The sequence below is a fragment of the Homo sapiens genome, chromosome 9, assembly GCF_000001405.40.
Source record: "Homo sapiens chromosome 9, GRCh38.p14 Primary Assembly".
Classification (NCBI taxonomy): Eukaryota; Metazoa; Chordata; class Mammalia; order Primates; family Hominidae; genus Homo; species Homo sapiens.
In genome coordinates, this window is record NC_000009.12 from 128103941 (window position 1) to 128131900 (window position 27960).

At 56.2% G+C, this 27960-nt stretch overlaps 2 protein-coding genes and 2 long non-coding RNA genes across 15 annotated transcripts in view, besides 8 other annotated features; 2 read left to right on the forward strand and 2 right to left on the reverse strand.

Moving 5' to 3' along the window:
* The window catches only part of SLC25A25 (solute carrier family 25 member 25), a 41014-nt gene extending 35709 nt beyond the window's left edge, over positions 1-5305 (forward strand). For all 7 annotated transcript variants that reach the window (NR_049766.3, NM_001330988.2, NM_001006641.4 and 4 more), the window contains 5 exons: positions 1789-1941; positions 2210-2317; positions 2413-2580; positions 3089-3239; positions 3320-5305. Coding sequence is in view for 6 of the 7 variants with exons in the window: in NM_001330988.2 (NP_001317917.1) it covers positions 1789-1941; positions 2210-2317; positions 2413-2580; positions 3089-3239; positions 3320-3504 (765 nt within the window). In the remaining variant the exon portion in view is untranslated. The remainder of the gene's footprint in view (positions 1-1788; positions 1942-2209; positions 2318-2412; positions 2581-3088; positions 3240-3319) is intronic.
* Positions 7231-14794, reverse strand: SLC25A25-AS1 (SLC25A25 antisense RNA 1). The gene is made up of 5 exons (NR_033374.1): positions 13983-14794; positions 13770-13895; positions 11134-11349; positions 9538-10746; positions 7231-8709 (listed from the first exon to the last, which is right to left on the reverse strand). It is a non-coding gene; the product is annotated as an SLC25A25 antisense RNA 1 (long non-coding RNA).
* Positions 11650-11944: an enhancer, noted in NCBI's record as "tiled region #4689; K562 Activating DNase matched - State 5:Enh". NCBI's record gives its function as "activates a minimal TATA promoter and a strong SV40 promoter by Sharpr-MPRA in K562 cells {active_cell/tissue: K562}" and the evidence as "EXISTENCE:reporter gene assay evidence [ECO:0000049][PMID:27701403]".
* Positions 11650-11944: a silencer, noted in NCBI's record as "tiled region #4689; HepG2 Repressive non-DNase unmatched - State 5:Enh". NCBI's record gives its function as "weakly represses a minimal TATA promoter and a strong SV40 promoter by Sharpr-MPRA in HepG2 cells {active_cell/tissue: HepG2}" and the evidence as "EXISTENCE:reporter gene assay evidence [ECO:0000049][PMID:27701403]".
* Positions 11972-12021: an enhancer, noted in NCBI's record as "active region_29071". NCBI's record gives its function as "activates an Ori minimal core promoter by ATAC-STARR-seq in GM12878 lymphoblastoid cells {active_cell/tissue: GM12878}" and the evidence as "EXISTENCE:reporter gene assay evidence [ECO:0000049][PMID:35858748]".
* On the reverse strand, positions 16753-24500 carry PTGES2 (prostaglandin E synthase 2). 6 transcript variants are annotated; one of them, NM_198938.3, is made up of 8 exons: positions 24308-24500; positions 21304-21501; positions 20839-20931; positions 20552-20610; positions 19762-19911; positions 18994-19194; positions 18422-18539; positions 16753-17333 (listed from the first exon to the last, which is right to left on the reverse strand). In NM_198938.3, the coding sequence occupies exons 5-8, from the start codon at positions 19872-19874 to the stop codon at positions 17205-17207; spliced, it is 561 nt and encodes a 186-aa protein (NP_945176.1). In that variant the 5' UTR covers positions 19875-19911; positions 20552-20610; positions 20839-20931; positions 21304-21501; positions 24308-24500; the 3' UTR covers positions 16753-17204. The 6 variants fall into 6 exon arrangements, with proteins under 6 accessions (NP_945176.1, NP_001243264.1, XP_011517352.1 ...); NM_001256335.2 differs by lacking the exons at positions 20839-20931; positions 24308-24500 and adding an exon at positions 24115-24204 and having other exon boundaries at positions 19762-19907; positions 21304-21343; positions 21436-21501; XM_011519050.2 differs by lacking the exon at positions 20839-20931.
* Positions 23310-23389: an enhancer, noted in NCBI's record as "active region_29072". NCBI's record gives its function as "activates an Ori minimal core promoter by ATAC-STARR-seq in GM12878 lymphoblastoid cells {active_cell/tissue: GM12878}" and the evidence as "EXISTENCE:reporter gene assay evidence [ECO:0000049][PMID:35858748]".
* Positions 23530-23819: a silencer, noted in NCBI's record as "silent region_20324". NCBI's record gives its function as "represses an Ori minimal core promoter by ATAC-STARR-seq in GM12878 lymphoblastoid cells {active_cell/tissue: GM12878}" and the evidence as "EXISTENCE:reporter gene assay evidence [ECO:0000049][PMID:35858748]".
* Positions 24030-24149: an enhancer, noted in NCBI's record as "active region_29073". NCBI's record gives its function as "activates an Ori minimal core promoter by ATAC-STARR-seq in GM12878 lymphoblastoid cells {active_cell/tissue: GM12878}" and the evidence as "EXISTENCE:reporter gene assay evidence [ECO:0000049][PMID:35858748]".
* Positions 24460-24659: a silencer, noted in NCBI's record as "silent region_20325". NCBI's record gives its function as "represses an Ori minimal core promoter by ATAC-STARR-seq in GM12878 lymphoblastoid cells {active_cell/tissue: GM12878}" and the evidence as "EXISTENCE:reporter gene assay evidence [ECO:0000049][PMID:35858748]".
* Positions 24589-26694, forward strand: PTGES2-DT (PTGES2 divergent transcript). Its single transcript, NR_024425.1, has one exon. It is a non-coding gene; the product is annotated as a PTGES2 divergent transcript (long non-coding RNA).
* Positions 24690-24799: a silencer, noted in NCBI's record as "silent region_20326". NCBI's record gives its function as "represses an Ori minimal core promoter by ATAC-STARR-seq in GM12878 lymphoblastoid cells {active_cell/tissue: GM12878}" and the evidence as "EXISTENCE:reporter gene assay evidence [ECO:0000049][PMID:35858748]".

A 27960-nucleotide genomic window follows, 5' to 3' on the forward strand; every position in this document is an offset into this window, starting at 1 on the left:
CCAAACTTTTCTAACCCAATAAATTAGACTAGAATTATTGCTCAGACAGGGGGTACCAAAATGTCACTGTAGGTGACATTTTGTGCAGAGCGGATCTAATTTTATCTGAGGCATCACATTACAGGGGCATAATGTGGACAGGTGAAGCTAGCGAGACTGGGGTGAGGCAGGAACCAATTTCTGTAAGTACGTTTTGTGTACGTTACCCCACACTGGGGCCAGCAGAGCCTCACCTGACCCAGATGCCAATGGGAAGCCACGCCATTACCTTGGCCAGGTACGCAAATCCATGTCCACACAGCAGAGATAAGCTGGGCTGATGTCAAGGCAGAATTGTGAAACTGACCCACACAACGACACTGGTGGACTTTGATGTCTGAATGGTGACTGGCCACCACTTGTCCCCTTGCCCGTACCTAGTACTTCTTGTGCCAGGAGCCCGGCTTGGAAGAGCTGCCTCCTTTCTCTCCCCAGTCTGCCTTGCTGGGCCTCCCTGTGTTGCACAGAGACAAAGGAAGCAGGTGGTTCAGGGCAGAATGCCTCGGGCTTGGACTCTGCCCAGGGCACCACCACAGCTGCCTCCCTCCCTCTTGTGGCCTTGAGCAAACCCCTTTCCCTCCCAGGACTTCCCCTCCTCTGTGAAAATAGGGGCTTGAACAACTGCCTCATCCTTTTGTTTTTTTAGCAGAATTATCAGGAATGTTGTAGAGATTGAAAGCAGGCCTTGGGTGAAATCAAATGCCTGGCGTGTGCCTTTAAACCAGCATGGGTGGGGCAGCAGGAGAGAGAGGTTGGCTGTGGTTTGATCATTGTCTAAGCTGAGTGGGCATTCATTCTATTTTTTAATATGTCTTAAGTTTTTTTAATAATGAAAAACTTTGATTTTTAAAAATTATTATTATTATTATTATTATTATTATTATTATTATATTTTTTGAGACAGTCTCGCTCTGTCACCCAGGCTAGAGTACAGTGGTATGATCTCAGCTCACTGCAACCTCCCTCACTGGGTTCAAGCAATTCTACAGCCTCAGCCTCCCTAGTAGCTGGGATTATTACAGGCATGCGCTATCACCCCAGGCTAATTTTTGTATTTTTAGTAGAGACGAGGTTTCATCATGTTGGCCAGGCTGGTCTCACACTCCTCACCTCATGTGATCTGCCCACCTCGGCCTCCCAAAGTGCTGGGATTACAGATGTGAGCCAACACTCCCGGCCTTTTTTTTTTTTTTTTTTTTTTTTTTTTCTAAAATAGAGTCTCGCTCTGTCGCCCAGGCTGGAGTACAGGGGCGCGATCTTGGCTCACTGCAACCTCCACCTCCCGGATTCAAGCGATTCTCCTGCCTTAGCCTCCCAAGTAGCTGGGATTACTGGTGCCTGCCACCACGCCCGGCTAACTTTTGTATTTTTAGTAGAGACGGGGTTTCACCATGTTGGCTGGGCTGGTCTCGAACTCCTGAACTCAAGTGATCCACCTGCCTCAGCCTCCCAAAGTGCTGGGATTACAGGCATGAGCCACCGCGCCCAGCCTTGATTTTTTTTTTAAGTCATCTTTATGGAGATGTTCAGGACAAGGCTGGCAACCAGCAGATACCCAGTACGATGGAGCTGAGCCTCACTTAGCCGTGTTGGGTTACTTTGGGCTCATGATTCCAAGCTTGTCTTCAAAATGCACGGAAGAAAGGGCCTTCCCTTTGGCCGCAGCCGGTTGGCCAGCAGAGGCTCTTGGCCGGGTGAGGCAGCCTGTGGCCCCCCGGGTCCGTCTGACTGTTCGGTCCTCCCTCCCAGGTCCATGCCTCCCGCAGCAACAACATGGGCATCGTTGGTGGCTTCACTCAGATGATTCGAGAAGGAGGGGCCAGGTCACTCTGGCGGGGCAATGGCATCAACGTCCTCAAAATTGCCCCCGAATCAGCCATCAAATTCATGGCCTATGAGCAGGTGAGGACCCAGCTCCTCAGGAGGGTCACCGGCCAGTGGCTACTCACTGCCTGGACTTGCTGGCTTTCCCTGGGCTGAGCTCCCTGACACTTGGAGCCAGCCGTGGTACCCCAGGGACAGCAGGGCGAGGCAGGAGGCCCAGGCTCACCACGAGTTCCTTACATTTCTGGGTAGCATAAAATGTGCCGGGGACTCCTGGAAGGGAGGGGCAGCAGCAGGTGCCCCAACCTCTGGGTATATCAGGTGGTTTGTTTGTTCCTGGTTCTAGATCAAGCGCCTTGTTGGTAGTGACCAGGAGACTCTGAGGATTCACGAGAGGCTTGTGGCAGGGTCCTTGGCAGGGGCCATCGCCCAGAGCAGCATCTACCCAATGGAGGTGAGGGGCCGCCTGGGTCCTGGGGCGGGCAGTGGGCACAGGACTGGGGAGAGGCACAGGCTGTGCTCACGCGTCCCGCTGCTCCTGTTGTGCAGGTCCTGAAGACCCGGATGGCGCTGCGGAAGACAGGCCAGTACTCAGGAATGCTGGACTGCGCCAGGAGGATCCTGGCCAGAGAGGGGGTGGCCGCCTTCTACAAAGGCTATGTCCCCAACATGCTGGGCATCATCCCCTATGCCGGCATCGACCTTGCAGTCTACGAGGTGAGGCCCAAGCTGGACAGATTTAGAAACCTCCTCCCAGCACACCTCCACCTGCTGTCTCCCTCCTTGACGGACGCGTGGTTAGTGCAGGAAACTGCATCAAAGACTGCGCCTCCTTCCTGCTCTTCTGTTTACTGCAGCTTTCCTTCACCCTGCCTGCCCCTGGCAGACCCCAGCAGCTCCTGTGAGCCCTGCACCCAGGCTCTGCATCCCCAGAGGCTCAGCAGGCAGATCCCCAGAGCAGGGTGGCCCCCAGGAGCTCACAGGCCCCAGCACACTCTAGACAGACCCCAGAAGTCAGCCCTTCTGTGTGGGGAAGGAGGTGTTCCCTCTACCTTGTCCCGGAATTCCCAGTGACAGCAGAAACAGGGCAGCCAGGCTAGGAGCCCAGCCAGGCCCCAGGCGCGGCAGTCGGGTTCCAGTGGCCTGAGGACCCAGTAACAGCCCCGTCTCTTGCTGCCTCACTAGCCCTTCCTAGGGCTTATCCCATGCTCCCTTCTCCTTCTAGACGCTCAAGAATGCCTGGCTGCAGCACTATGCAGTGAACAGCGCGGACCCCGGCGTGTTTGTGCTCCTGGCCTGTGGCACCATGTCCAGTACCTGTGGCCAGCTGGCCAGCTACCCCCTGGCCCTAGTCAGGACCCGGATGCAGGCGCAAGGTAAGGCTGGCCCTGGACAGTCCCCTGGGAGGTCGGGGGGAGCGGACAGAAGCATCTGACTGGTGGCCTCCATCCTGCAGCCTCTATTGAGGGCGCTCCGGAGGTGACCATGAGCAGCCTCTTCAAACATATCCTGCGGACCGAGGGGGCCTTCGGGCTGTACAGGGGGCTGGCCCCCAACTTCATGAAGGTCATCCCAGCTGTGAGCATCAGCTACGTGGTCTACGAGAACCTGAAGATCACCCTGGGCGTGCAGTCGCGGTGACGGGGGGAGGGCCGCCCGGCAGTGGACTCGCTGATCCTGGGCCGCAGCCTGGGGTGTGCAGCCATCTCATTCTGTGAATGTGCCAACACTAAGCTGTCTCGAGCCAAGCTGTGAAAACCCTAGACGCACCCGCAGGGAGGGTGGGGAGAGCTGGCAGGCCCAGGGCTTGTCCTGCTGACCCCAGCAGACCCTCCTGTTGGTTCCAGCGAAGACCACAGGCATTCCTTAGGGTCCAGGGTCAGCAGGCTCCGGGCTCACATGTGTAAGGACAGGACATTTTCTGCAGTGCCTGCCAATAGCGAGCTTGGAGCCTGGAGGCCGGCTTAGTTCTTCCATTTCACCCTTGCAGCCAGCTGTTGGCCACGGCCCCTGCCCTCTGGTCTGCCGTGCATCTCCCTGTGCCCTCTTGCTGCCTGCCTGTCTGCTGAGGTAAGGTGGGAGGAGGGCTACAGCCCACATCCCACCCCCTCGTCCAATCCCATAATCCATGATGAAAGGTGAGGTCACGTGGCCTCCCAGGCCTGACTTCCCAACCTACAGCATTGACGCCAACTTGGCTGTGAAGGAAGAGGAAAGGATCTGGCCTTGTGGTCACTGGCATCTGAGCCCTGCTGATGGCTGGGGCTCTCGGGCATGCTTGGGAGTGCAGGGGGCTCGGGCTGCCTGGCCTGGCTGCACAGAAGGCAAGTGCTGGGGCTCATGGTGCTCTGAGCTGGCCTGGACCCTGTCAGGATGGGCCCCACCTCAGAACCAAACTCACTGTCCCCACTGTGGCATGAGGGCAGTGGAGCACCATGTTTGAGGGCGAAGGGCAGAGCGTTTGTGTGTTCTGGGGAGGGAAGGAAAAGGTGTTGGAGGCCTTAATTATGGACTGTTGGGAAAAGGGTTTTGTCCAGAAGGACAAGCCGGACAAATGAGCGACTTCTGTGCTTCCAGAGGAAGACGAGGGAGCAGGAGCTTGGCTGACTGCTCAGAGTCTGTTCTGACGCCCTGGGGGTTCCTGTCCAACCCCAGCAGGGGCGCAGCGGGACCAGCCCCACATTCCACTTGTGTCACTGCTTGGAACCTATTTATTTTGTATTTATTTGAACAGAGTTATGTCCTAACTATTTTTATAGATTTGTTTAATTAATAGCTTGTCATTTTCAAGTTCATTTTTTATTCATATTTATGTTCATGGTTGATTGTACCTTCCCAAGCCCGCCCAGTGGGATGGGAGGAGGAGGAGAAGGGGGGCCTTGGGCCGCTGCAGTCACATCTGTCCAGAGAAATTCCTTTTGGGACTGGAGGCAGAAAAGCGGCCAGAAGGCAGCAGCCCTGGCTCCTTTCCTTTGGCAGGTTGGGGAAGGGCTTGCCCCCAGCCTTAGGATTTCAGGGTTTGACTGGGGGCGTGGAGAGAGAGGGAGGAACCTCAATAACCTTGAAGGTGGAATCCAGTTATTTCCTGCGCTGCGAGGGTTTCTTTATTTCACTCTTTTCTGAATGTCAAGGCAGTGAGGTGCCTCTCACTGTGAATTTGTGGTGGGCGGGGGCTGGAGGAGAGGGTGGGGGACTGGCTCCGTCCCTCCCAGCCTTCTGCTGCCCTTGCTTAACAATGCCGGCCAACTGGCGACCTCACGGTTGCACTTCCATTCCACCAGAATGACCTGATGAGGAAATCTTCAATAGGATGCAAAGATCAATGCAAAAATTGTTATATATGAACATATAACTGGAGTCGTCAAAAAGCAAATTAAGAAAGAATTGGACGTTAGAAGTTGTCATTTAAAGCAGCCTTCTAATAAAGTTGTTTCAAAGCTGATCATGGAGCCAGTATTTTTCTGACGGGGGCCTGGGTGGTCTGGGGGTGCTGACATGTTAGAAAATGCGCCCTGTTTTCCCCTCTGGAGCCTGGTGGTGCCCCCTTTCGGCTTCTTAGAGGCGCTCCCTCTTTAATGGTTGCGTGTTCGATTTGGGGTGCCCTGAGTTGCTGTGTAGGGTCGTTCCTCAGCCTGTCTCAGGCAGGGTGCGGGGGATCTCTCCCTCCGCCGGAAGTGCCATCTTCACAGACACCGAGGACGTCGCTGGGCTTCTCTCCCCTCCCCCCAGCTGCCCCTCCCAGCCTCACCCCGCTCCTGCCTCCTCACACCCTCTCAGTAACCTCATCTGACTGAGGATTACCTTCAATATCTATATTTAGATGACACTCCTTTGATACTTGAACGAATTCCAGCTTCATCAGTACAACTGTGAAATCCACATCCACTTAAACAGCACCTCGAGTTCAGCATGTCAGAAGCCGAACCCTTCATTTTCCTCCCAAAATCTGCTTCTTCATTTTCCTCATGCCAGCAAATGGCAACTCCTTTCTTCTACGAACTTAAGCCAAACACCTTGTAGTCAACCTGACTCTGTACTTCCCTCTGGTTCCAGGGCAGTCCACCAGCAAATACCGTCAGCCCCACCCGCAAAATAGATCTGCTCTCTGGCCGCTTCTCCCGACCTCCACCCCTGCCACTGATCAAAGACAATATCATGTCTCACCTGGATGATTGCAAGACCTAAACTTCTTCCCCCTGCTTCCCTTCACTCTCCACCCCAAGACCAAGGGGCCCTTTGAAAACCTAAGTGGATAGCCAGGTGTGATGACAGGTGCCTATAATCCCAGCTACTCCAGAGGCTGAGGCAGGAGAATGGCTTGAACCCAGGAGGCAGAGGTTGTGGTGAGCCGAGATCATGCCACTGCACTCCAGCCTGGGCGACAGAGTAAGACTCTGTCTCAAAAAAAGAAAACCTAAGTTTCTCATGTCACTCAGATCCTCCAATGAATAGATAAGCTGGGCAGGCGCGGTGGCTCACGCCTGTAATCCCAGCACTTTGGGAGACCGAGGTGGGCGGATCACCTGAGGTCAGGAGTTTAAGACCAGCCTGGCCAACATGGCAAAACCCCATCTCTACTAAAAATACAAAAATTAGCTGTGCTTGGTGGCGCATGCCTGTAATCCCAGCTACTCGGGAGGCTGAGACAGGACAATCACGTGAACCCGGGAGGCAGTGGTTTCAGTGAGCTGAGATCATGCCACTGCACTCCAGCCTGGGCGATAGAGCGAGGAGACTCCATCTCAGAAAAAAAGAAAAGAAAAAAAAAGAAAAAAAAAAAAACAGAAACAAAAACGAAAAAGACAAGTCACCGGCTAGGAGAAAATCTTTGCAGTACATGTAATCTCCAGCATGTATTAACTGTGTAAGGCAAAAAGAAGAGGACAAGCCAGTTAACAATTGGCACTTCCAAAAGCAAGATGACTTAATGGCCAATAAACATGAAAACGAGCTTAACTCCATTAGTTGTCAGGGAGAAGCAAAACACTGAATGAGGCCCAGAGCAGTGGCTCACACCTGTAATCCCAGCACTTCGGGAGGGTGAGGCTGGAGATCACTTGAGGCCAGGTGTTCAAGACCAGACTATGCAATACAGCAAGGCCCCATCTCTACCAAAACAGTTAAAAGCATTTAACAAGATACCAGTGCATCCACACTAGAAGGCCTAGAACTAAAGATGTCAGCACTGTAGTTTGATGAGAATCTGGGAGCAGCCACACTCCTAGACTCTGCTAGTACAAGGTAAAATGCCAATCATTTTGGAGAATTGTTTCTAATAAACTCAAATGGACATTTGCCCTGTGACCCAGCACTTCCACTCCTATTTACCCCTTTCCCTAAATGAAAACATCCACAGAAGAACTTGTACGTGGCTCACAGAGGCTTCATTTGTAACAGCCAAAAACTGGAAACAGTCCAGACACCCATCAACAGGTGAAAAGATCCCCAAATAGCTGCCTGCATGTGTTGCAGTGCTACTCAGCAACGAATGGGAGGGAATTACTGAAACTCCAGGCATCAACATGAACCTAAAAACCATACCAGGTAAGGCCGGCCTGCAATCCCAGCACCTTGGGAGGCTGAGGCAGGTGGATCACTTGAGGTCAGGAGTTCGAGACCAGCCTGGCCAACAAGGTGAAACCCCATCTCTACTAAAAATACAAAAATTAGCCAGGTGTGGTGGTGGGCACCTGTAGTCGCAGCTACTCGAGAGGCTGAGGCAGGAGAATCGCTTGAACCTGGGAGGTGAAGGTTGCAGTGAGCTGAGATTGTGCCACACTGCACTCCAGCCTGGGCTACAGAGCGAGACTATGTCTCAAAAAAAGAAAAAAAAAAAAAAAGTGAGAGTGAAGCCAGGCACAGCAGTAACTAACTATACCTGGGTGCTGGGGCCAGCGGGACACGTGAGGCATACATCCAGGTATTGGGATATTTTTCCAGTCTTTGGTGAGAGAAATCAGAATGGTGGTTGCCTTTAGGGGAAGAGATGGTGGAGCCTGGGAAGAAGCAGGACACATTCATCAAAACTCATAGAACTGGCCGGGCACGGTGGCTCACGTCTGTAATCCCAGCACTTTGGGAGTCCAAGGCAGGCGGATCACCTGAGGTCAGGAGTTCCAGACCAGCCTGGCCAACGTGGTGAAACCCCATCTCAGCCTGGCGCGGTGGCTCACGCCTGTAATCCCATCACTTTGGGAGACCAAAACGGGCAGATCACGAGGTCAAGAGATTGAGACCATCCTGGCTAACCCGGTGAAACCCCATCTCTACTAAAAATACAAAAAATTAACTGGGTGTGGTGGCACGTGCCTATAGTCCCAGCTACCAGCTACTCAGGAGGCTGAGGCAGAAGAATTGCTTGAACCCAAGAGGCAGAGGTTGCAGTGAGCCGAGATTGTGACACTGCACTCCAGCCTGGGTGACAGAGTGAGACCCTGTCTCAAAAAAAAAAAAAAAGAAAGAAAAAAAAACCCCATCTCTATTAAAAATACAAAAATTAGCCAGGCATGGTGGCGTGCACTTGTAGTCCCAGCTACTTGGGAGGCTGAGGCAGAATTGCTTGAACCTGGAAGACAGAGGTTGCAGTGAGCCAAGATCGCGCCACTGAACTCCAGCCTGGGCGACAGAGCAAGAGTCCATCTTAAAAAAAAACAAAAACAAAAAAAACACTGAACTGTGTACTTGAGTCACCATATGTTTCACTGTATGTAATTATACCTGATTTTTTTTGTTGTTTGTTTTTTGTGATGGAGGTTCACTCTTGTTGCCCAGGCTGGAGTGCAATGGTATGATCTCGGCTCACTGCAACCTCTGCCTCCCAGGTTCAAGCAATTCTCCTGCCTCAGCCTCCTGAGTAGCTGGGATTACAGGTGTCTGCCACCACGCCCAGCTAATTTTTGTATTTTTAGTACAGATGGGGTTTCACCATGTTGGCCAGGCTGGTCTTGAACTCTTCACCGCAGGTGATCAGCCTACCTTGGCCTCCCAAAGTGCTGGGATTACAGGTGTGAGCCACCGTGCCCGGCCATACCTGAATTTTTTAAAAAGGGAAGCAAAAACCTTCCAGTGTTTCCTTTCTCACCATTAGACAAACGTCCCCATTATGGCCTTCAAGCCCTGCGTTGCCGGCCTACTGCCTGGCCAGAGGTGGATTTGCCAGAAAGCAGTAAAGGAATCTGGGTCACCTTAGAAATAGAGAAGGGGAGCTGGGCACGGTGGCTCATGCCTGTAATCCCAGCACTTTGGGAGGCCGATGCAGGTGGATCACCTGAGGTCACGAGTTTGAGACCAGCCTGGCCAACATGGTGTAAACCCCGTCTCTACTAAAAAAAAAAAAAAAAAAAATGAGCTGGGCGTGCATGCCTGTAATCCAAGCTACTTGGGAGGCTGAGGCAGCAGAATCACTTGAAGCTGGGAGGCAGAGGTCGCAGTGAGCTGAGATTGTGCCATTGCACTCCAGCCTGGGCAACAAGAGTGAAACAAATAAAGAAATAGAGAAGGGGCCAGGTGTCATTCTCCATCCATCTTCTCTTTCTCCCCGGCACTTTTCAAGTCAATTATGCTACTTACTTTCATTGCCGGGTTTCTCATCTGTTCCCTCGCCCATGAACGTGAACTCCTTGAGGGTGGCAGTGTCTGTTGGCTTTGTTCACTGCTGCTCCCAGCACCTGGAGCCTGAACAGTGTTCGGTGAATCCTTAACATCCAAGTGTTTCTTGGTGTCGTCGACAGAATTATGCCCCCGCCACAAGATGTCCATGTCCTAATCCCCAGAAGCTGTGAATCCCATTACATGGCCAGGGGGAATGAAGGAGGCAGATGGAATGAAGGTTGCTAATCAGCCGACCTTCAAACAGGGAGATGGATTATCCTGGGTCATCCGGTGGGGGGGCCAGTGTGATCACAGGGGTCCTTCAGTGTGGAGGAGGAGGCAGGAGAGAGAACAGAGAGATGGCATGAGAAGGACTCAGGCCTCCGCTGCTGGCTTGAAGGTGGAGGAAGGGGCCACGAGCCAAGGAACGCAGGCAGCCTCTAGAAGCTGGAAAGGCACAGAAGTGGATCCTCCCCTTCCTGCCCTGGAGCCTCCAGAAGGAACACAGCCCTGCAGACACCTTGGTTTTAGCCCCATGAGGCCCATTTCAGACTCTTGACCTCCAGAACTGTGAGATTATAAACCTGCATTGTTTAAGCTACTTCCCACCTACTGGCCCTCTGGTGGAGATAAAATCCCCTTAATCAGGGTTTGCAACCAGACTCCTGGGCAGGGGAGGGCACAGTGGGGGCAGGGGGCACATCTCAAGGTCTGATTGGAGGCACGGTGCTCCTCCAGACCCACCTGAGTCCGGCTGGCATGGAAGCTCCAGGGGAGCCCTGGGGCGGGCGTGGTGGGGGTGGCTGGCAGACCCCTCCTTGTCCTCCAGGAAGTCCAAGCTCTGTGGGGCCCCCTCAGCCACTCAGGTCTTTGGGGACACAGTCACAGGTGCCTGCCCTCGGGAAGGGCCCAAGAGCCTGGAGCTGTGCCACCCTGGTCCAGGGAACAAGGGGTCAGGGCAAGAGAAACAGCGGTGGGGCATGTGGTGGGTCAGGACAGTTGCAGAGCGGCTTCCCATAAACAGACTGGGACAGTGGACGTCCCTGTTCCATAGCATCCAAGCTGAGTGACCTTGGGCAAGTCACACCACCTCTCTGAGCCTGTTTGTTTGTCCATTAGAGAAGAGCAAGACGAGCCAGGGAGGTCTGTTGGAAAGTTGAACTGAAACGAGGCAGGAAATGGGATGCGGCCCATCCTGACAGCTTCATCTCCCAGCTGCCCTTCTTCCTCCAGCATTCAGACACGCTCCAGGTAATCCCGCCTTCATCCTCTCGGGCCTGGGATCTCAGGTGTCTGCGAGGAAATCCAGAGCCACTTGAGCCGTGTGGTCCGGTGGGCCCCCTCGCAGGGGCACTGCTCACGCACGACTTCACTTAGCTCTCAGCAGGTGTAGGAGGTGCCACCACCGCCACGTCCCCATTTCACAGGGGAGGAAACTAAAGTTTCAAGAGGGGAGGGGACTTGCCCAGGACCTAGGATGCAGTGGACCCCCGACTGGCAGGTGGCACGCAGGGGAGTGAAGCTGCGGCGGGCTCTGCTGGGGCCGCCCACCAGGAACTTGGGGCAAGGCAGAGAGCTGCTGCCCACATCGGACCCGGCAAGCTGGAACCATGCCACAACCCACCCGTGGGACCTTCACCAAGTTAGACGTGCCCAAGGGACAGGCATTCCTTGCCTCACCTCAGAAGGGTGGCACCTGGTCCCTGGCTGCCTCCTCGCAGCCAGGAGGCCACAGAGAGCCTGGGCAGGCCTGCGCTTGAATCCTGGGTCCCGGTGGTGTGATCTTGGGCAAGTCTTCTGCCTCTCTGAGCCTCAGTTTCCCCACTAGCAAGACAGGCACGACGCCTTCTGACAGCTCACTGCGGAAGCGGCTGTTCTGCTTCACATAAAGGGTCACTGTGAAACAGATTCAAAGCAGCTCTGTTGACACGGAAGCCCTGTTCTCACCTGGGCCTCACCCTGTGCCGCCCTAGTCCAGATTTCACCGGTCTGAGTGCGTTGGAAAGTAGGGGAAGGGTGGAAACAGGTGGGGCGGGTGTGCTGGGCCCGGCCGCCCAGGTGTGGACCTTGCTCTCTGCAGCAGCAGCAGCAGCAGGCCACGTGACCTGGGCTGGCCAGGAGCGGGCAGCAGGAAGGGCATGGTATGATAGCACCTCCATCCTGCAGATGGGTAAACTGAGGCCAGGGAGGGCCCCAGGCCTGCCCCAGTTCCCCGAGGGGCAAGATAAACCTAGGCCTCCTGCTCTCAGCTCCTCTGAACGCAGGGGCAGGCCAGGGAACAGCCGCAGGACATGGTTCTCTTGGTCATTTGCTATCACCCACCAGCACAGCCCCGTGGCCCAGGAGGAGCCGTTATCTCCCATGGCAGTTGTTGAGGCCGATGAGAGACGGAGCTGGCCCCACCCATGCTAGTCAGTACGGGGCACCCCTGGCTGAACTGAAGAGCCCAGCCTCCCACCCCCTCATCTTACAGATGAGGAACCTGGCACAGGCTGGAAACCCTGGGACTTCCCCAGGTCACCACATGCCCCATCGCTGTTTCTCTTCCCTGACTACACCGGGCTTAAATCTGTGTATGAGTGTCCTGGGGCAGCTGCAACCAATAACCACACACTTGGTGACTTCCAACACCACAAATGGCTGGGAGCCGCGGCTCATGCCTGTAATCCCAGCACTTTGGGAGGCTAAGGCAGGCAGATCGCTTGAACCCGGGAGTTGGAGACCAGCTTGGGCAACACAGTGAGACCCCATCTCTACAAAAAATACAAAAGTTAGCCAGGTGTGGTGGCACACACCTGTGGTCCTAGCTACTTGGGAGGCTGAGGCCGGAGGATCACTTGAGCCCATGAGTTGGAGACCAGCCTGGGCAACATAGTGAGACCCTATATCTACAAAACATTACAAAAACTTATCCAGGCATGGTGGCACGTGCCCATGGTCCCAGTTATTCAGGAGGCTGAGGTGGGTGGACCACTTGAGCCTAGGAGTTCAAGGCTGCAGTGAGCCATGATCGTGCCCCTATACTCTAGCCTGGACAACAGAGCAAGACCCTGTCTCAAAAAAAAAAAAAAATGAACAGACACACAAAAGCAAACCCGCACCCTCCCCATGAGCTCACTCTCCTCAGGGAGGACGGAGCTTGCTGTTCTCAGGACTCTTTCCATTCTTACTTCCTGGAGTCCTTGACCTGGAGCTCTTTAAGCCAGTGGGGAACACAGCAGGGCATGTGTTCTGAGAACAGACAGCAGACCCTACCAGCTTCATAAATAGACCCCTCGAATATTGACTCTGTGTATCGTCATCCAAAACACCTTCCCAGCCCTGGCCTTACCCGCCCACGGAGGTTTACTAATGCCATTTCCCAGTCAGTAAGGGGCTTGCCCAAGGGCACAGTGGGCAGCGGCCGGGTCCTGAACTCAGGCCTTCTGAAGCCATCAAGACCACAGGGGACCGTGAATGGTGGCTCACACCTGCAATCCTAGCACTTTGGGAGGCCACGGCGGAAGGATTGCTTGAGGCCAGGAATTTCAGACCAACCTGGCCAACATAGCAAGAACCTGTCTCTATGTTTTATTATTTATTTGTTTAGAGATGAAGTCTCCCTCTGTCGCCCAGGCTGGAATACAGTGGCACAGTCTTGGCTCACTGCAGCCTCCATCTCCCAGATTCAAGCGATTCTCCTGCCTCATCCTCCTGAGTAGCTGGGATTACAGGCATCCACCACCAGACCCGGCTAATTTTTGTATTTTTAGTAGAAACAGGGTTTCGCCATGTTGGCAGGCTGCTCTCTCAAACTCCTGACCTCAAGTGATCCACCCGCCTCACCCTCCCAAAGTGCTGGGATTACAGGCGTGAGCCACTGCTCCTGGCCTCTTTTTTTTTTTTTTTTTGAGACGGAGTCTTGCTCTGTTGCCCAGGCTGGAGGGCAAGTGGCGCAATCTCGGCTCGCTGCAACCTCCCCGGCCTCTATTTTTTAAACAAAGAAAGAAAAAATGACCACAGGGGCCATGCCGTGACCTGAGGATGGCACTAATGGGCCATGGAATCCTGGCTTGGGGCCCGTTCCTAAGAAGAGACATTTCTTCTTCTTTTTTTTTTTTTTTTGAGAGGGTCTCACTTTGTCACTCAGGCTGGGGTGCAGTGGGACAATCATAACCTCACTGCAGCCTCAAACTCCTGGGCTCAGGTGACCCTCCCACCTCAGCCTCCTGAAGTGCCGGGCTTACAGGGATGAGCCACTGTGCCCAACCTCAAGAGACATGTTTTTTCCTAGCCACTCATCTTTGGACCCTTACAGCTAAGCCCATTTTACTTACAGATGGGCAGAGTCGCTGGGTAATGAGCGTGCCGAGATTCATTCCCGGAATTGGCCGCTAGGTGGCAGCAGCAGGCCCTGTTGCCATCTCCTACGAGGCTTGGCGGGCTCTGGCGCCCTCTGGTGGCTGCGGGAAAACACGCCAAGAAGTCTGACGGAGAAACATTGGGGAAACTGAAGTGGAGTTGTTACCTCTTGGGAGAGAGATACTCACGGGGAGAAGCTGGGCCTAGGTGGTGTCCCGCGGTGGCCTCAGGCTGACTGGCCATTCTCCAGCCTGTCAGGTCTGATTAGCACTCGGGAGGCGGGTGTAGGCTCCTCCCCATCTGCAGCAGCCCCGGGGAAAGAGCCCTAGTCCAGGACTCAGGCCCCTGTTCCCAGCGCGGTTTAGCTGCCAACCGGATCTCCTTCTGCAAGAGGGGAAACAGAAGGAAACTTTATTCCCGAGTCTGTGAAGCCAGGAAAAGGGGCAATGCCTGGTGGGTGGGAAGGCATCTACACCCGGGGCCTCCTAAGTAAGACCAGGACCTCGAGGGGAGGCTGGAGGAGGAGCCACAGCCCGCAGTCACTGGGCTGAGCAGGAGGAACATTCAAAAGGCCTGGGAGCACAGGGTGGGGTGCTGGGCAGTGAGACCTTCCCCTGGCCTCCATGTCATGGACAGAAGGTGGACGCCTTGTCACAAGCTGACCACATCAGATGCTCTCTTTCGGGACTTTGGGACTGAGAAAGAGAGAGGTGAGTCAGTCCCCGTGTGCAGCTGGAAAGGCATCAGGTAACCCTGGGTGGGGTCTGAGGATGGCAGGAAAAGCCTGTCTGTGAAGGGAAGGGAAGTGAGAGTGGGGAGCAGGGATGGAGGGATGCTGGGATGGAGGATGGAGGGCACAGGGATACAGGAATGGAGGGATGGAAAAATAGAGGGATGCAGGAATGGAGGGATGAAGAGGTGCAGGGATACTGGGGTGGAGGGATGCAGAGAACGGAGGCATGCAGGGATGCTGCGATGGAGGAATGCAGGGATGGAGAATGTAAGGGTACAGGGATGGAGGATGGAGGGGTGCAGGGATGCAGAGATGGAGGATGGAGGGGTACAACGAAGGAGGGGTGCAGGGATGGAGGGATGGAGGGGTGCAGGGACAGAGGGATGCAGGGATGGAGGGATGGAAGGGTACAGGGATGGAGGGTGCAGGGATGGAAGGATGGAGGGGTACAGGGATGGAGGGATGGAGGGGTACAGGGATGGAGGGTGCAGGGATGGAAGGATGGAGGGGTACAGGGATGGAGGGGTGCAGGGATGGGGGACGGAGGGGTACAGGGATGGGGTACAGGGATGGAGGGGTGCAGGGATGGAGAGATAGAGGGGCACAGGGACGGAGGGGTGCAGGGATGGAGGGATGGAGAGGTACAGGGATGGAGGGTTACAGGGATAGAGGGAGGCTCCTCCTTCAGTGCCCCATGGTATTCCTGGCCTAGTTCCTGCCCTGCTGAGGGAGGTACCCTGGGTCCCTGGAGCAAAGGCCCCTCAGGACTTTAGACCTGGCCAGTGAAGTGGAAATGCCGTTCTGGACACAGTGGTGGCTCTGGGTGCCCTGATACCTGTTGGCCTCTCAGAAGCGGCTGCTGTGACTCCTAAGGCCACAGATGGGCACAGCCTCAGGCCTGGCTGCCTCCTCTACCCTGCAGCCCAAGTACCTGGAGTTAACACCCACAGAGGGCACACAGTGGGGGCTGGCTGAAGGACTGTGGTGCATCCAGGCGGCAGGGCACTATGCGCCATGAGAACAAGCCAATGTGACATACGCCGACAGGCAGACGCCCAGGATGGGGATGAGAACACAGCCGGTGGCAGACCAACCCCGTGGGAAAAACGGAGGTCACCAACTGCACAGCCACCTGCTTCCAAACGTCACACTCCCTGCCTCGAGCGCTCACTTCTACCTTACTCAAATGGTAGCTATTACAGGAACATGAGTTATTTTGTTTTAAAAATACTAATAAAGAAAATAAAACTTTAAAAGTTTCCTGGCTGGGCGTCGGGGCTCACTCCTGTAATCCCAGCACTTCGGGAGGCTGAGGCGGGCAGTTCCCTTGAGCCCTAGAGTGCGAGACCAGCCTGGGTAACACAGCAAAACCCAGGATCTACAAAATATAAAAAACAAAAAATTAGCTGGGCATGTTGGTGTGCACCTGTTCCAGCTACTTGGAGGCTGAGGTGGGAGGATCACTTGAACCTGGGAGGTCGAGGTTGCAGTGAGCTATGATTGCACCACTGCATCCCAGCCTGGGTGACAGAGCGAGACCCTGTCTCAAAAAATAAAAAAAAACAACAAAAAAGTTTCTCAAGAGGGTATGGGGACGTTGCCCAGTCCCCCCAGTCGGAAGGGCCAGTGGGTGGAGTTGGGCTCACTGGCCTCTGGAGGGTCCCTAGCAGGCCACCCCACCTCAGTTAAGTCGGGACTGGGGAGCCCCATCCTGGGTACTCTGTGCAGGAAAGGGGGTCCCACCCACAACCCACACTCACCCTGGAAGGCAGAGCCTCTTCTCCCATAAAGCCTGGCCCAGCCTGGAGCTGAAGCCCGGGGCCGCCACCTGAGAGGGCTTGGTTCTGTCTGTAGAGCAGGGGTCTGAATAGCCTGGTGCCCTGGACCAGGTGACCCGGCTCTGTGCACTGCACCTGCTCCTATCACTGAACTCTCCCACAAGGCGGGGACAGACGAAGAAACTGAGGCTTGATGAGTGACCCCACTGCAGAGCCCCACCGTGGGTAGGGTGCCCCGACCTGCACTCTGGCTGCTGGGCTCCACGGCCCAGCTGTGTGCCCTGAGTGGTATCCTGGGGACGATGCCACACAAAGCCTGCGGAGCCGTACCGTGCCTGACACCTGGGAAGCCCCAGGCCAGCGGTTAGTTACCACAAGGGCTGGCACAGCCCAAGCCTGATGCCTCCCTTGACCGCCAGCCCCACGCAGCACTCAGCCACACGGAGCTCCATGAGATGCCTGCCATGACAGGCGCCACAAACCTTTCCTTTATTGCAAACATGTCCCAGTCCCGGGAGGCTTGGGAAGAGTGGGAACCAGGGGAACCCAGGGATGGGATTCCACTGAAAACAAACCGTCCTGCTGTCCTGTCGAGGGCCCCCACCCACAGGATGTAGCCATGGGACAGCCACTGAGGGTCCAGGAAGAGGGGCGGCAGAGCAGGGAGGCAGGGACAGGGAGGGGTCGCCCCAGGGCAGTGGCAGGGCTGGAACTCGTCCCTAACATCCCTGAGCCCCAGCAGGTGCCCTGTGTTAGAAGCGAGAGGGCTGGTGGGGGTGCGTGGACAAGGGGCAGAATGATCCTGCCCCCAACCAGTATCGCCAGGCGCTGGCCCAGTGGCCCCAGGCCCTGGCAGCTGGCGTCTTCCGCTGCCTTCCCTCTGCTCTGCGCGGGGACATTCAGTGCGCTGGGGAGGCCTCGGTGATGGCCCTCTCCACCCGCAGGTACCAGGGCTGGATGTGCGTGTGCTGCATCAGGTCATCGAACGCATCCAGCCCCTCCATCACACGCAGCACGCCATACACCGCCTGGGGCACGAACAGAAACGTGTCACCATAGCTGGTTTGACAGGCATCCAGACCTCCTTCGTTCCCTGCCAGCTGTGTGGCCAGGTCCCGTCCCCTCCCCCCTTGGAGCTCGTGACCCACTCAAGGGCCAACAGCACAGGTGAGGGTTTGAACAAAGCATGTGGGGTGGCTGCAGGTCTCGCCTGCTTCACATCTGTACCCCCTTTTCTGGGCCACAGACCCTGCCCCCCAGCAAGTTTCCTTGGGATAAATGCCCTCCCCTCATCTCAGGTCCTGAGATGGGGGAGAAGAGACCCCACCACCCAGTTTCAAGACCCAGGTCACCCAGGGGCAGGACAGTTTTAAAAATGAGCAGTGGGCCAGGCACGCTGGCTCACGCCTGTAGTCCCAGCACTTTGGGAGGCCAAAGTGGATGGATCACCTGCGGTCAGGAGTTCGAGACCAGCCTGACCAACATACTGAAACTCTGTCTCTACTAAAAATTCAAAAATTAGCCGGGCATGGTGGCACAGGCCTGTAATCCCAGCTACTCAGGAGGCTGAGGCAGAAGAATTGCTTGAACCTGGGAGGCGGAGGTTGCAGCGAGCCAAGACTGCACCGCTGCACTCCCGCCTGGGTGACAGCGTGAGACTTGGTCTCAAAAAAAAAACAAAAACAACAACAACAAAAAAAAACAAAAGGAAAAAGGGCAGTGAAGCCAGGCCAGTGAGACGCCCTCCCAGGGGTTTTCTGGGAGAAGCCTGGAGCACCGGACCCAGCCCGCCTGAGGCTGAAGCCAACTCCAGGGAGGGCAGTGTTGATGGCGACAGGTAGAGCTTGGGCTCTGGTAACACCACCCGGGCCTCTGGATCCAGCAGGGCCCGAAGCCAACCCGTTCCCTGAACTTGTCAGTTATGTGAACCAAGGCGGTTCCTGGTCATCTGTTTCTCTCCTGGAGCCACTTCGAGGCGAGTTTCTGTCCGTGATGGCAGAGAGAGGCAGGTTCCTCTGGCAAGATGCAAGCACCGTCCAGGCTTTCCCTTGCAAACCTCCCCCACTCTGAGGACAGAACCCTCGGTCCAGGCACCACCTGCCACCACCACACTCACCAAATCAGCGAGATTCGGCTTCTGGCCCCCCATGAAGGGCCGGTCCTTGCCCACAGCAGCCACCCACTTGTCAGCAGCCTCATAGAGGTCCTCGCGCACGTTGTCCTGGAGGCGGTGCCTGGGCGGGGAAGGGAAAAGCCCCTCAGGGGAGCCCCCACTCCCAGCCCAGCAGGGAAGAGGGTCTCCTCTGGGGAGAGGGGGGAGGTGTGGAAGCCAGGACGGCACCCCAGGTGAGAGCATCACATCTGCAGACGCCTCAGGGAGCATCCGTCCCAGACGGGGAGGCTGTGGTAAAGGCAAGAGACCAGGCCAGGGAGAAAGCCACAGAGGAGGCGCCAGTCAGGGCCCAGGCTTCCGGCTTCAAGGCCAGCCCTGCTGTCCCCAGGGGAGGTGAGCAGGAGCTCTGGGTCCAAGTCCCATCTTGGCCAAGGGACCCATAATCCATAATGCGTTTCCCACCTGCCCTAGGCCTCGGCCTCCCGCTGGTCTCCTGAGGGGTGTGATGGGATCACCACTGCTCGTGGCACCGGAGGCTCGGGGACAGCAGGCCCCGGATGTGCACACACACTTGCCTGCTCTTGAGTCGCTTGCTGATGAGGTACATGGCCGCTGCACCCATGTACTTGGCCACGGCACCCTCCACGGCTCCGAACTTGCCCTCGCGGACAATGTAGTCAAAGGACGCCAGAGCCTCGGTGGGCGTGCGGTACACATTGGGGGAGATCAGGTGCACCAGCCAGTCGTCCGCCCACTGCCGCCACTTCATCTCCTCCCTGCGGGCACGGGAGGGACTTCCTAAGCCAGGACCCGGGCTGTGTTGGGAGCAGGCTGCATTCTCTAGAACATACCCACTGCACGGGCGGGAAGCTGAAGCCTGAGCAGGAAGGTCTTTTTTTTTTTTTTGAGACAAAGTCTCGCTCTGTCACCCAGGCTGGAGTGCAATGGCACCATCTCAGCTCACTGCATCCTCCGCCTCCTGGGTTCAAGCGATTCTCCTGCTTCAGCCTCCTTAGTAGCTGGGATTATAGGTGTGTGCCTCCACACCTAGCTAATTTTTGCATTTTTATAGAGATGGGGTTTTGCCATGTTGGCCAGGCTGGTCTTGAACTCCTGACCTCAGGTGATCTGCCTGCCTCGGCCTCCCAACAGGCTGGGATTACAGGAGTGAGCCACCACGCCCGGCTGCAGGAAGGTCTCTACTGAAATCCGGCATGGCCCGGCCCCAGCCCCGCTGGTCTCCCATGCTGCTCCCTGCTCACGCCATCTTGCTCAGCTTGGTCCTACTCTACAGAAGACCCCTGCGGTCACCACCTTCCCCCGCCAGCCCCAGCCCCACTCACGTCCTGGCCTCCTTCCCACCATACACTTGCTGGGCCTCCTTCTCGTTGAGCATGAGCCAGTACTTATTGCCGAACTCGGTCACCTCCTTGCCCTGCTCGTTCACAGCCTTCATGGCTGGGTAGTAGGTGATGATCTCTTCCAGGGGCTGCCTTCGGAGAGAGCCACAATATCACCCCAACTCCTTCCCCCTCCGTCCCCTGTGGCCGACCAACCCCGCTGCCCCAGCCTCAGAGTGGAGCCAGGACCAACAAAGGCTCTCCGGACTCTTGCAGTAAGAGGGATTTGGAGTAGATGCCAGGGCTACCTCCCCAAGAGAGGGAGGTGTGGGGAGGACAAAGTAGGGGGCTTGGAGGAGGACGGCCACGGGCTACTCTGGAAAATCATTTTTTTTTTTTTTTGAGACGGAGTCTCGCTCTGTCACCCAGGCTGGAGTGCAGTGGCACGATCTTGGCTCACCGCAACCCTCTGCCTCCCGGGTTCAAGCGATTCTCCTGCCTCAGCCTCCTGAGTAGCTGGGACTACAGGCACTCGCCACTATGCCTGGCTAATTTTTGTATTTTTAGTAGAGATGGAGCTTCGCCATGTTGGCCAGGCTGGTCTGGAACTCCTGACCTCAGGTGATCTGCCTGCCTCGGCCTCCCAAAGTGCTGGGATTACAGGTGCGAGCCACTCTGTACTCTGGAAATCTAAGCAGCAGCTCCACGTGCTCCCAGGAGGGAACTCAGGGGAGGCCTCCCTGGAGGAAGCCACCAAAAGCAATGGCCACCTGGTCTCCGAGGGGCTCCTTACCCCGACACCAGGTAGGTCTTGAGGGCGCTGATGATGACAGAGGAGTCATTTAGTTGTTGCTGGAAGAGAAAAGGGTGGTTTAATCAGAGGTTGCAACCCAGCCGCTGGGAGTCACCAGGGGCTCTTTAACAAGACACTCTGGGCATTGTTTATCCATTCCTGGGGACATGCCCGGAGTCCTCCCCGCCCTGCCCTCAGGGCACCCATCCTAAGTAGGGAGACGTGGTTGTGGCCAATGGGGAGGAAGGTGTGGGAAAGCCGTGGGGTCTAAGCCCCAGCCCACTCACCCATTTGGCCTCCCAGGTAGAGGGGCAGGGTGGGTTCTGGAAGCTACATACTAGACCCCAAGCACTGTGCCAGGCATTTCATATCTGCCGTCCCTGCAAGCCAGAATATGGTCCCTTGTTGACTCATGAAGCAAGCAAGCGCAGAGAGGCTAAGTGACTTGCCCCAAGTCACACAGCTAGTGAGTGGGTGAATCACACCTCAAACCCAGATCGCTGATTTCAGAATCTATGTTGTTAAGCTGTGGTGTTCTGCCTCCCTGAGACCCAGCAGGTGTTTGGTTTTGGTACGGAAGGAGAGAGCCTACATTTATTGAGCATCTACCGTATGCAGCTACTTCCCCCATAGTCCTTACAGGCACAAGGATCACAAGTTCCTTCCCAGGCTGCAGAGCCAGGCCAGGCTAGGGGGCGCTCCAGGACAACCCAGGAAAGGAGGAAGGATGCAGGGGGTTCCCTGGGGCTCACCGAGCTTTCTCCTTCCTGGGCCACCAGGATGGGCACCTTTCTGTAGGAGGAGAACTTGATCTCAGCCCTGCGCACAGGGTTCACCTCCACCACCTGGTAGGGCAGGGCATGGAAGTCGAGGAAGGCTCGGACCTTGCTGCAGAAGGGACACGTCTTGTACTGGTACAGGGTCAGCTGCAGGCGGCTGGACAGGGAGAGCTGCGGGCAGCAGACGGAAAAGGCTTCTAGACCTGGCACCCCCAGGCCCAGGCCCTGCCCCCAAGGGTGTTTTCCAGAGGAGTCTTCTGAAATGACGCTAGAACATCGGGAAGAGGAACTAGAGATGGAAGGGGGCGGTAGGGGAAAGGGAGGCACTGGACAGCAGCCCAGGTTTAAGCCCCTGGCCAGCACGGTCCCCAAGCAGGAGTCCCACCCTTTGCTGCGAGGTTGTGTAGGAGGAATCTTCTAGTCTCTGTCCCATACTGGACAGACCCCTCTTTTCTCACTCCAGTCCCAAGGGGACACCAGACAGCCCCAGGGTATACACCCCACTCCCACAGACATGGAACAACTGTTTCAACTTGACTTGTTCACTCTCACTCCTCTAACCCCAGGGACCTCTGGGGGCAGAGCTGGGCTACCACCCAGGCTCATGTTCACCAGTGGGGTCTACCTCCAATCTCTTTCTTGTTTTTTTCTCTGGAGACAGGGTCTCACTCTGCCATCCAAGCTGGAGTGCAGTAGCTTGATCACAGCTCACTGCAGCCTTGAACTCCGGGGTTCATGTGATCCTCCAGCCAAAGTCTATCTCAAATATCCGAGGGGGAGGGTGGTATCTGAGCCAAGGCCTGCGTGTGGCAAGCTCCGCAGGAAAGCCCCCAGGGGAGCCTGCTGCACGTTCATGCCGGGAAGCCACAACTGTAGACCATCCCCCTGTGTTCAGAGGGGAAGCTGGACCGTGGAGGCAGGAAGGGAGACACAGAGTACTCCATGCCCTTTTTACCCACCTCTGTTCCCTCTGGTCCAGCAAATAAGCATCTGTGGGCGGGTGGTGGGAAGTCAAGTAATGAAGAGTTGCAAGGTGTGGGGTAGGTATAAAGTGTCTCAAGGCAGCTGGGCCACCACTTAGGGGGTCACCACTTGGGGGGGGCACCTTTCTACCTCTTCCTGTTTCAGCCTGGAGTCTAAGTCATCAGTTCCATAAAGGTACCACCACTACTACTAAATAAATACACAGCCTTAGGATTTGGGGGCAGTGGGGAGAGAGGATGATGAACGTTTGGAAAGTGAAAAAGGCTTTCCCTTTCCTGTGATCTCCCATCTCTTAATCAAAAAAGTCTTAAAACACGGTAGAGGCTGGGCTCCGTGGCTCACACCTGTAATCCCAGCACTTTGGGAGGCCGAGGCGGGTGGCTCATTTGAGGTCAGGAGTTCGAGACCAGCTTGGCCAACATGGTGAGACCCCCGTCTCTAGTAAAAATACAAAAATTAGCCGGGCTGGGTGGCAGGCGCCTGTAATCCCAGCTACTGGGGAGGCTGAGGCAGGAGAATTGCTTGAACCCAGGAGGCGGAGGTTGCAGTGAACCGAGATCGCGCCACTGCACTCCAGCCTGGGCAACAGAGCAAAAAAAAACTCCGTCTCAAAAAAAAAAAGTCTCCTTAAAACATGGTAAAGGCTGGGCGCAGTGGCTCACGCCTGTGATCCCAGCACTTTCAGAGGCCAAGGTGGGCGGATCACTTGAGGCCAGGAGTTCGAGACCAGCCTGGGCGACATGGTGAAACCCTATCTCTACAAAAAATACAAAAATTAGCAGGGCGCAGTGGGGTGAGCCTATAGTCCCAGCTACTCGGGAGGCTGAGGCAGGAGGATCCCTTCAACCTGGGAGGCAGAGGCTGCAGTGAGCCGCGATCGCACTCCAGCCTGGGCGATAATGCGAGACCCTGTCTCGAAAACATAAATAAACAAACCAAAAAAAAAAAAAAAAAAAAAACCACGGTAGAAGAACGATTTTATGAGAACTCGAACAATTCCAGGTAGTAGGCATCAGGAGTGCCCCTATTTTACACAAAAGAATACAGAGGGTTCGGAGACTTCAGACCAAGTCACTCGCCCAAGGTCACAAGCAGGCAGAGGCAACTCCTGACCCTGCGGGTTCCCAGGAGTCCCGAGTTCGGCGCTGATCAGCATCCCCATCCCCGGCCGGGCCAGGCCTTACCTGCGCGGCTGAGCGCTCTGCGTGGAGGTCCTGGGCGCGCAGGTGCCACCGCGCCGTGTGGTACAGCCCCAGGGCTCCCCCCAGGGCCAGCGCCGCAGCTCCCAGCAGCCGCGGGCTCCCCTTACGAGCTGCAGCCACGGGGCTCGGGCCGCCCGCCGCCCCCGCGAAGCCAGCCCGGCTCTGCGTGGGTAGCAGCGGCTGGGGGCGGCCTCCCAGCCTCCAGGCCAAGGCGCACCCACCAGGCCACAGCGCCCGCACCACCCGCGCAGCCGGGTCCATGTTCGCTCCGCCGGCGCCGCGGGCGGGCGCGCGAAACGAAGACGCCGAGGCACGCGCGGCGTTTAAAGGGCCAGGACTCTGGCGCCCCGCGGGTTGGCCGGGGTGAGGGCGACGCTAAGGGAACCCTCAGCGCTCTCGGGACTGGGCGTGTGCCCGGCGCCCAAGTTCGAAACGCCCGCCAGAGCCGCAGAGGCCCGCTCGGGAACGTTTGCAGACCGTTCCATGCTTCCGCCTCCAAAGGCTCTTGGGTAGTGACCCGGCCGACTGCAGGGGGGCGAACGTCTCCTCGCCCCACCTTGACCGCCTAAAGGGCGGCGTGGCCGTCTGTAACACGTACTTGCCCACCTCTCTTACGGGCGCCCATTCAAAACAACTCCAGCCCTTCCTAGAGTCAGTACAGGCGCCGCGACTTCCGGCCACTGAAAGCCCCGGAAACGACCCGACCCGGCACCAGGTGTTGCGGTTCTCTCTGCCCTCCCGCCTCATTGTCCGCTTCCTACTGTGACCCGAACCATAAAATTTTCCCGAACCCGAAGGGGCCTTGGAAACCACGTGTCTCTGATTTCGCCCACGCGAAGCGGCCGGCCCGCCGACCCCGAGATTTCCAGGGAGAGGATGGCAAAGTGGGGTGCCAGGCTGCTCGGTCCTTCTGCTGGGCTCCCCCGCCCTAGCTGAAGCCCGGAGCCTCCACCGCATAGGCGTCTCCGCGGACAGCCCCGGGATGGCCCCGCCCGGCGCCCGAGAGGGGGCGGGACTCGCAGAGTGGGCGGGGAGAGGGGCGGGGCGAGGGGGGAGCTCTGAGTCCCGGCTCTGCTGCTCCGCCGCGTCCCACTCTTCTCGCTCCGCTTTCGCCCCGCATCTTCCACCTTCCTTCCAGTCCTTGCGGCGACCGAGCCCGCAGTGTCAGTCCCCAGCGGGGACCTGAGTATGCCGGTGAAGACGAGAGCGGAAGGCGAGGACGACGGCTTCGGGGAAGCGGGTGACCCGAGGAGACTGCTGGAGCGACCTTGGCGTTTCCGGGGGTGCCTTCCCGGGAAGGGGAATCGGGATGTTGGCTTCGAAGGGACCGAAGGGCCCACCTCGACCCGCCCCGAGTGGGTTTGGAGTTGTAGGTGCTGTCTCGGATGCAGGGCGAGCACCCGCGAGCGGGTAACCAGTCCCGTGAGAGCTGCAGGTCCCCAGCCCCGTTTTACAGATAGGGAAACTGAGGCAGCTGCTGGGACACTCGCCCATATGGGTTTTGCTCCACCCACTTCCTTCAGCCACTTTACAGACCAGGAGTTGAGGGACTGCTCGAGCTTAGAGTGTTTAGGGGTGGTTGAGGGTGACCCCCATGTTCTGTGCTCTACTCTATCCCTATCCAGGCCTTCTCCCAGCGCCACTCTCACGCTCCTGCTTGCTAGCTCCTGCTTGCTAGCTCCTGCTCCTCCCAGCTTCATCCTCCTCCTGTTTACATTAATTGCTCCTGATCTTCCACACTCTTGATTTTCCGGATTCTAACTCCATCAAAATGTAACTTGATGTGTTCAGGCCCCGGGGACACCTAGGCACTTGAGGGGGGCGGGTCCGTGTTTGGCCTGCTGGGCTTAGTAGGAGGGTCTGGCCCGGGGCGGGGAGCGCGATGCTCTGCTGGGTCAGCATCTCCAGCCACCTGGCTTTGCTGGTGTGGCCTCGCAGCCTTGCCAAATGTGAGCAGCTTACAGAGCAACCAGTTGCACGTGCTTAAGCTGCCGAGGTGACACAGGGCGCTGTAGGGTCCAGCCCCACAGGGTCGGTAGGTCTCTCCCTGTGTGCGGCGACGAGAGAGTGTAGAAATAAAGACACAAGACAAAGAGACGAGAAAAGGCAGCTGGGCCCGGGGGACCACTACCACCAATGCGCGGAGACCGGTAGTGGCCCCGAATGTCTGGCTGCACTGTTATTTATTGGATACAAGGCAGAAGGGGCAGGGTAAAGAATGTCAGTCACCTCCAATGATAGGTAAGGTCACGTGGGTCACGTGTCCACTGGACAGGGGGCCCTTCCCTGCCTGGCAGCGGAGGCAGAGAGGGAGAGGAGACAAAGAGAAAGACAGCTTACGCCATTATTTCTGCATATCAGGGACTATTAGTATTTTCACTAATTGACTACTGCTATCTGGAAGGCAGAGCCAGGTGTACAGGATGGAACATGAAGGCGGACTAGGAGCGTGACCACTGAAGCACAGCATCACAGGGAGACAGGCCTCCAGATAACTGCGGGCGAGCCTGACTGATGTCAGGCCCTCCACAAGAGGTGGAGGAGCAGAGTCTTCTCTAAACTCCCCCGGGGAAAGGGAGACCCCCACCCTCCCTTTCCCGGTCTGCTAAGTAGCAGGTGTTGTTCCTTGACACCTTTTGCTACTGCTGGACCATGATCCGCCTGGTAACGGGCGTCTTCCCAGATGCTGGCGTCACCGCTAGACCAAGGAGCCCTCTGGTGGCCCTGTGTGGGCATAACAGAAGGCTCGCACTCTTGTCTTCTGGTCACACCTCACTATGTCCCCTCAGCTCCTATCTCTGTATGGCCTGGTTTTTCCTAGGCTATGATTATAGAGCGAGGATTATCATAATATTGGAATAAAAAGTAATTGCTACAAACTAATGATTAATGATAGTCATATATAATCATATCTAAGATCTATATCTGGTATAACTATTCTTGTTTTATATTTTATTATACTGGAAGAGCTCGTGTCCTCTGTCTCTTGCCTCGGTGCCTGGGTGGCTTGCCGCCCACACACAAAAAAGATAAATGTTTGAGGTGATGAAGATCTTAATTTCCTTGATTTGATCATTACATGTTTCATACAGGTATCAAAGTATCACATGTACCCCCAAAGTATGTACAACTATGATATATCATAAATAAATGAATAAATAAATAATAAAAGACAGAAGCCTGACCATGCTATGTTCAATCCACAGCTACGCCCCTCACTGTGCACCTGATCTCCCCATCTCACGCCAGTTCCTGAGAGACAGGACAGAGAACAGGGGCAGGGCTGCCCTGCCCTAACCACTGGTCTTCAGTTAGTTATCCTGGCAATACTTCCAAGGTGCCCTGCCCTGGTGCCCCCCACACTTGAGATAGCCCCGTCCTATCCCCCCACCCTGCAGGTGGGTCTGTGCAGAGGTGAGGTCACTGCTCCAAACCTCAATGGAGGGCACTGGGGCAGGTGTGCGCCATCCGTCACTGCACCCAAGGCCGTACACCATGCAAGCAGTCCTTCTCCCTTTTCCACGTGGAGGCTTGTGCATCTGGGGACAGATTTCAGAATTTAGGATACCCTAGTCCCCTCTTCAGGGCTTTGTCACCCACCTTTCATGTCCATAAAGCAGCAGAGCTTCTGTGGCCATGTCTCAGTACGTTTGATCCAGCATCAGCAAAGAAAGCCCAGTCTTTTGAAAGCCAGTGGTTGCAGTAGGCACATCCTCTCCAAGCCTATGCTCCCCAAGGTAGAGGTTAGCTATTTCTTGCCAAGTATGAATGCTGATTTCCAATGGCCATTAGGGAATAGAACCCCCCACCCCAGGGAAGCAAAGCCACCCTCTTCCTCCTCCCCCTCACTCAGCTCCCATTATTGGCCTGCCTAAGGAGCACCTCTGGGCTCTCCTAAAAGAAGAAAAGCCACTGTGTCCTTGCAAGTCGCACCTTTGTCCCTTAGTTCCACGAAAAGCTGCTACATGCCTACAGTGTGCCAAGCACTGGGGCTCTCCCTGTGGCACCTCGTTACACGCTAGAAGGCAGGTGCTGTTCAGAAATTTCTGATGCTGTTGGTGTCCTGCACTCAAGATGCTTCCCAAAGCCAGATTCCACTCACCGGCAGCCTCGCTGGGAGCACAGAGGGTTTCCTGATGCTCACACTCCACAGAGAAACAGGTGGAGACGTGTCCATCAGGGCGAGAAGGTGGCCATTGGGAATAGGAAGGACATTCCCCCTGAGCCATGGCACAAGGGGAGGCAGCCATGGGGAGAGGACAGAGCAGGGAGAGCAAGAAGGAACCTGGGAAGGAAGGTCTCTTGGGTCCCTGGAAGCTCCAGGCTGGGCCACAGGGATCAAGGGGCACTCACTGGCCAGAGCTGAGAAACATCTGCTCCAGTCTCTGGATGCCTGCCTGTCCACCGCCAGCTGCTGGTGAGATGTTCTTGTTTGAGGGTAGAT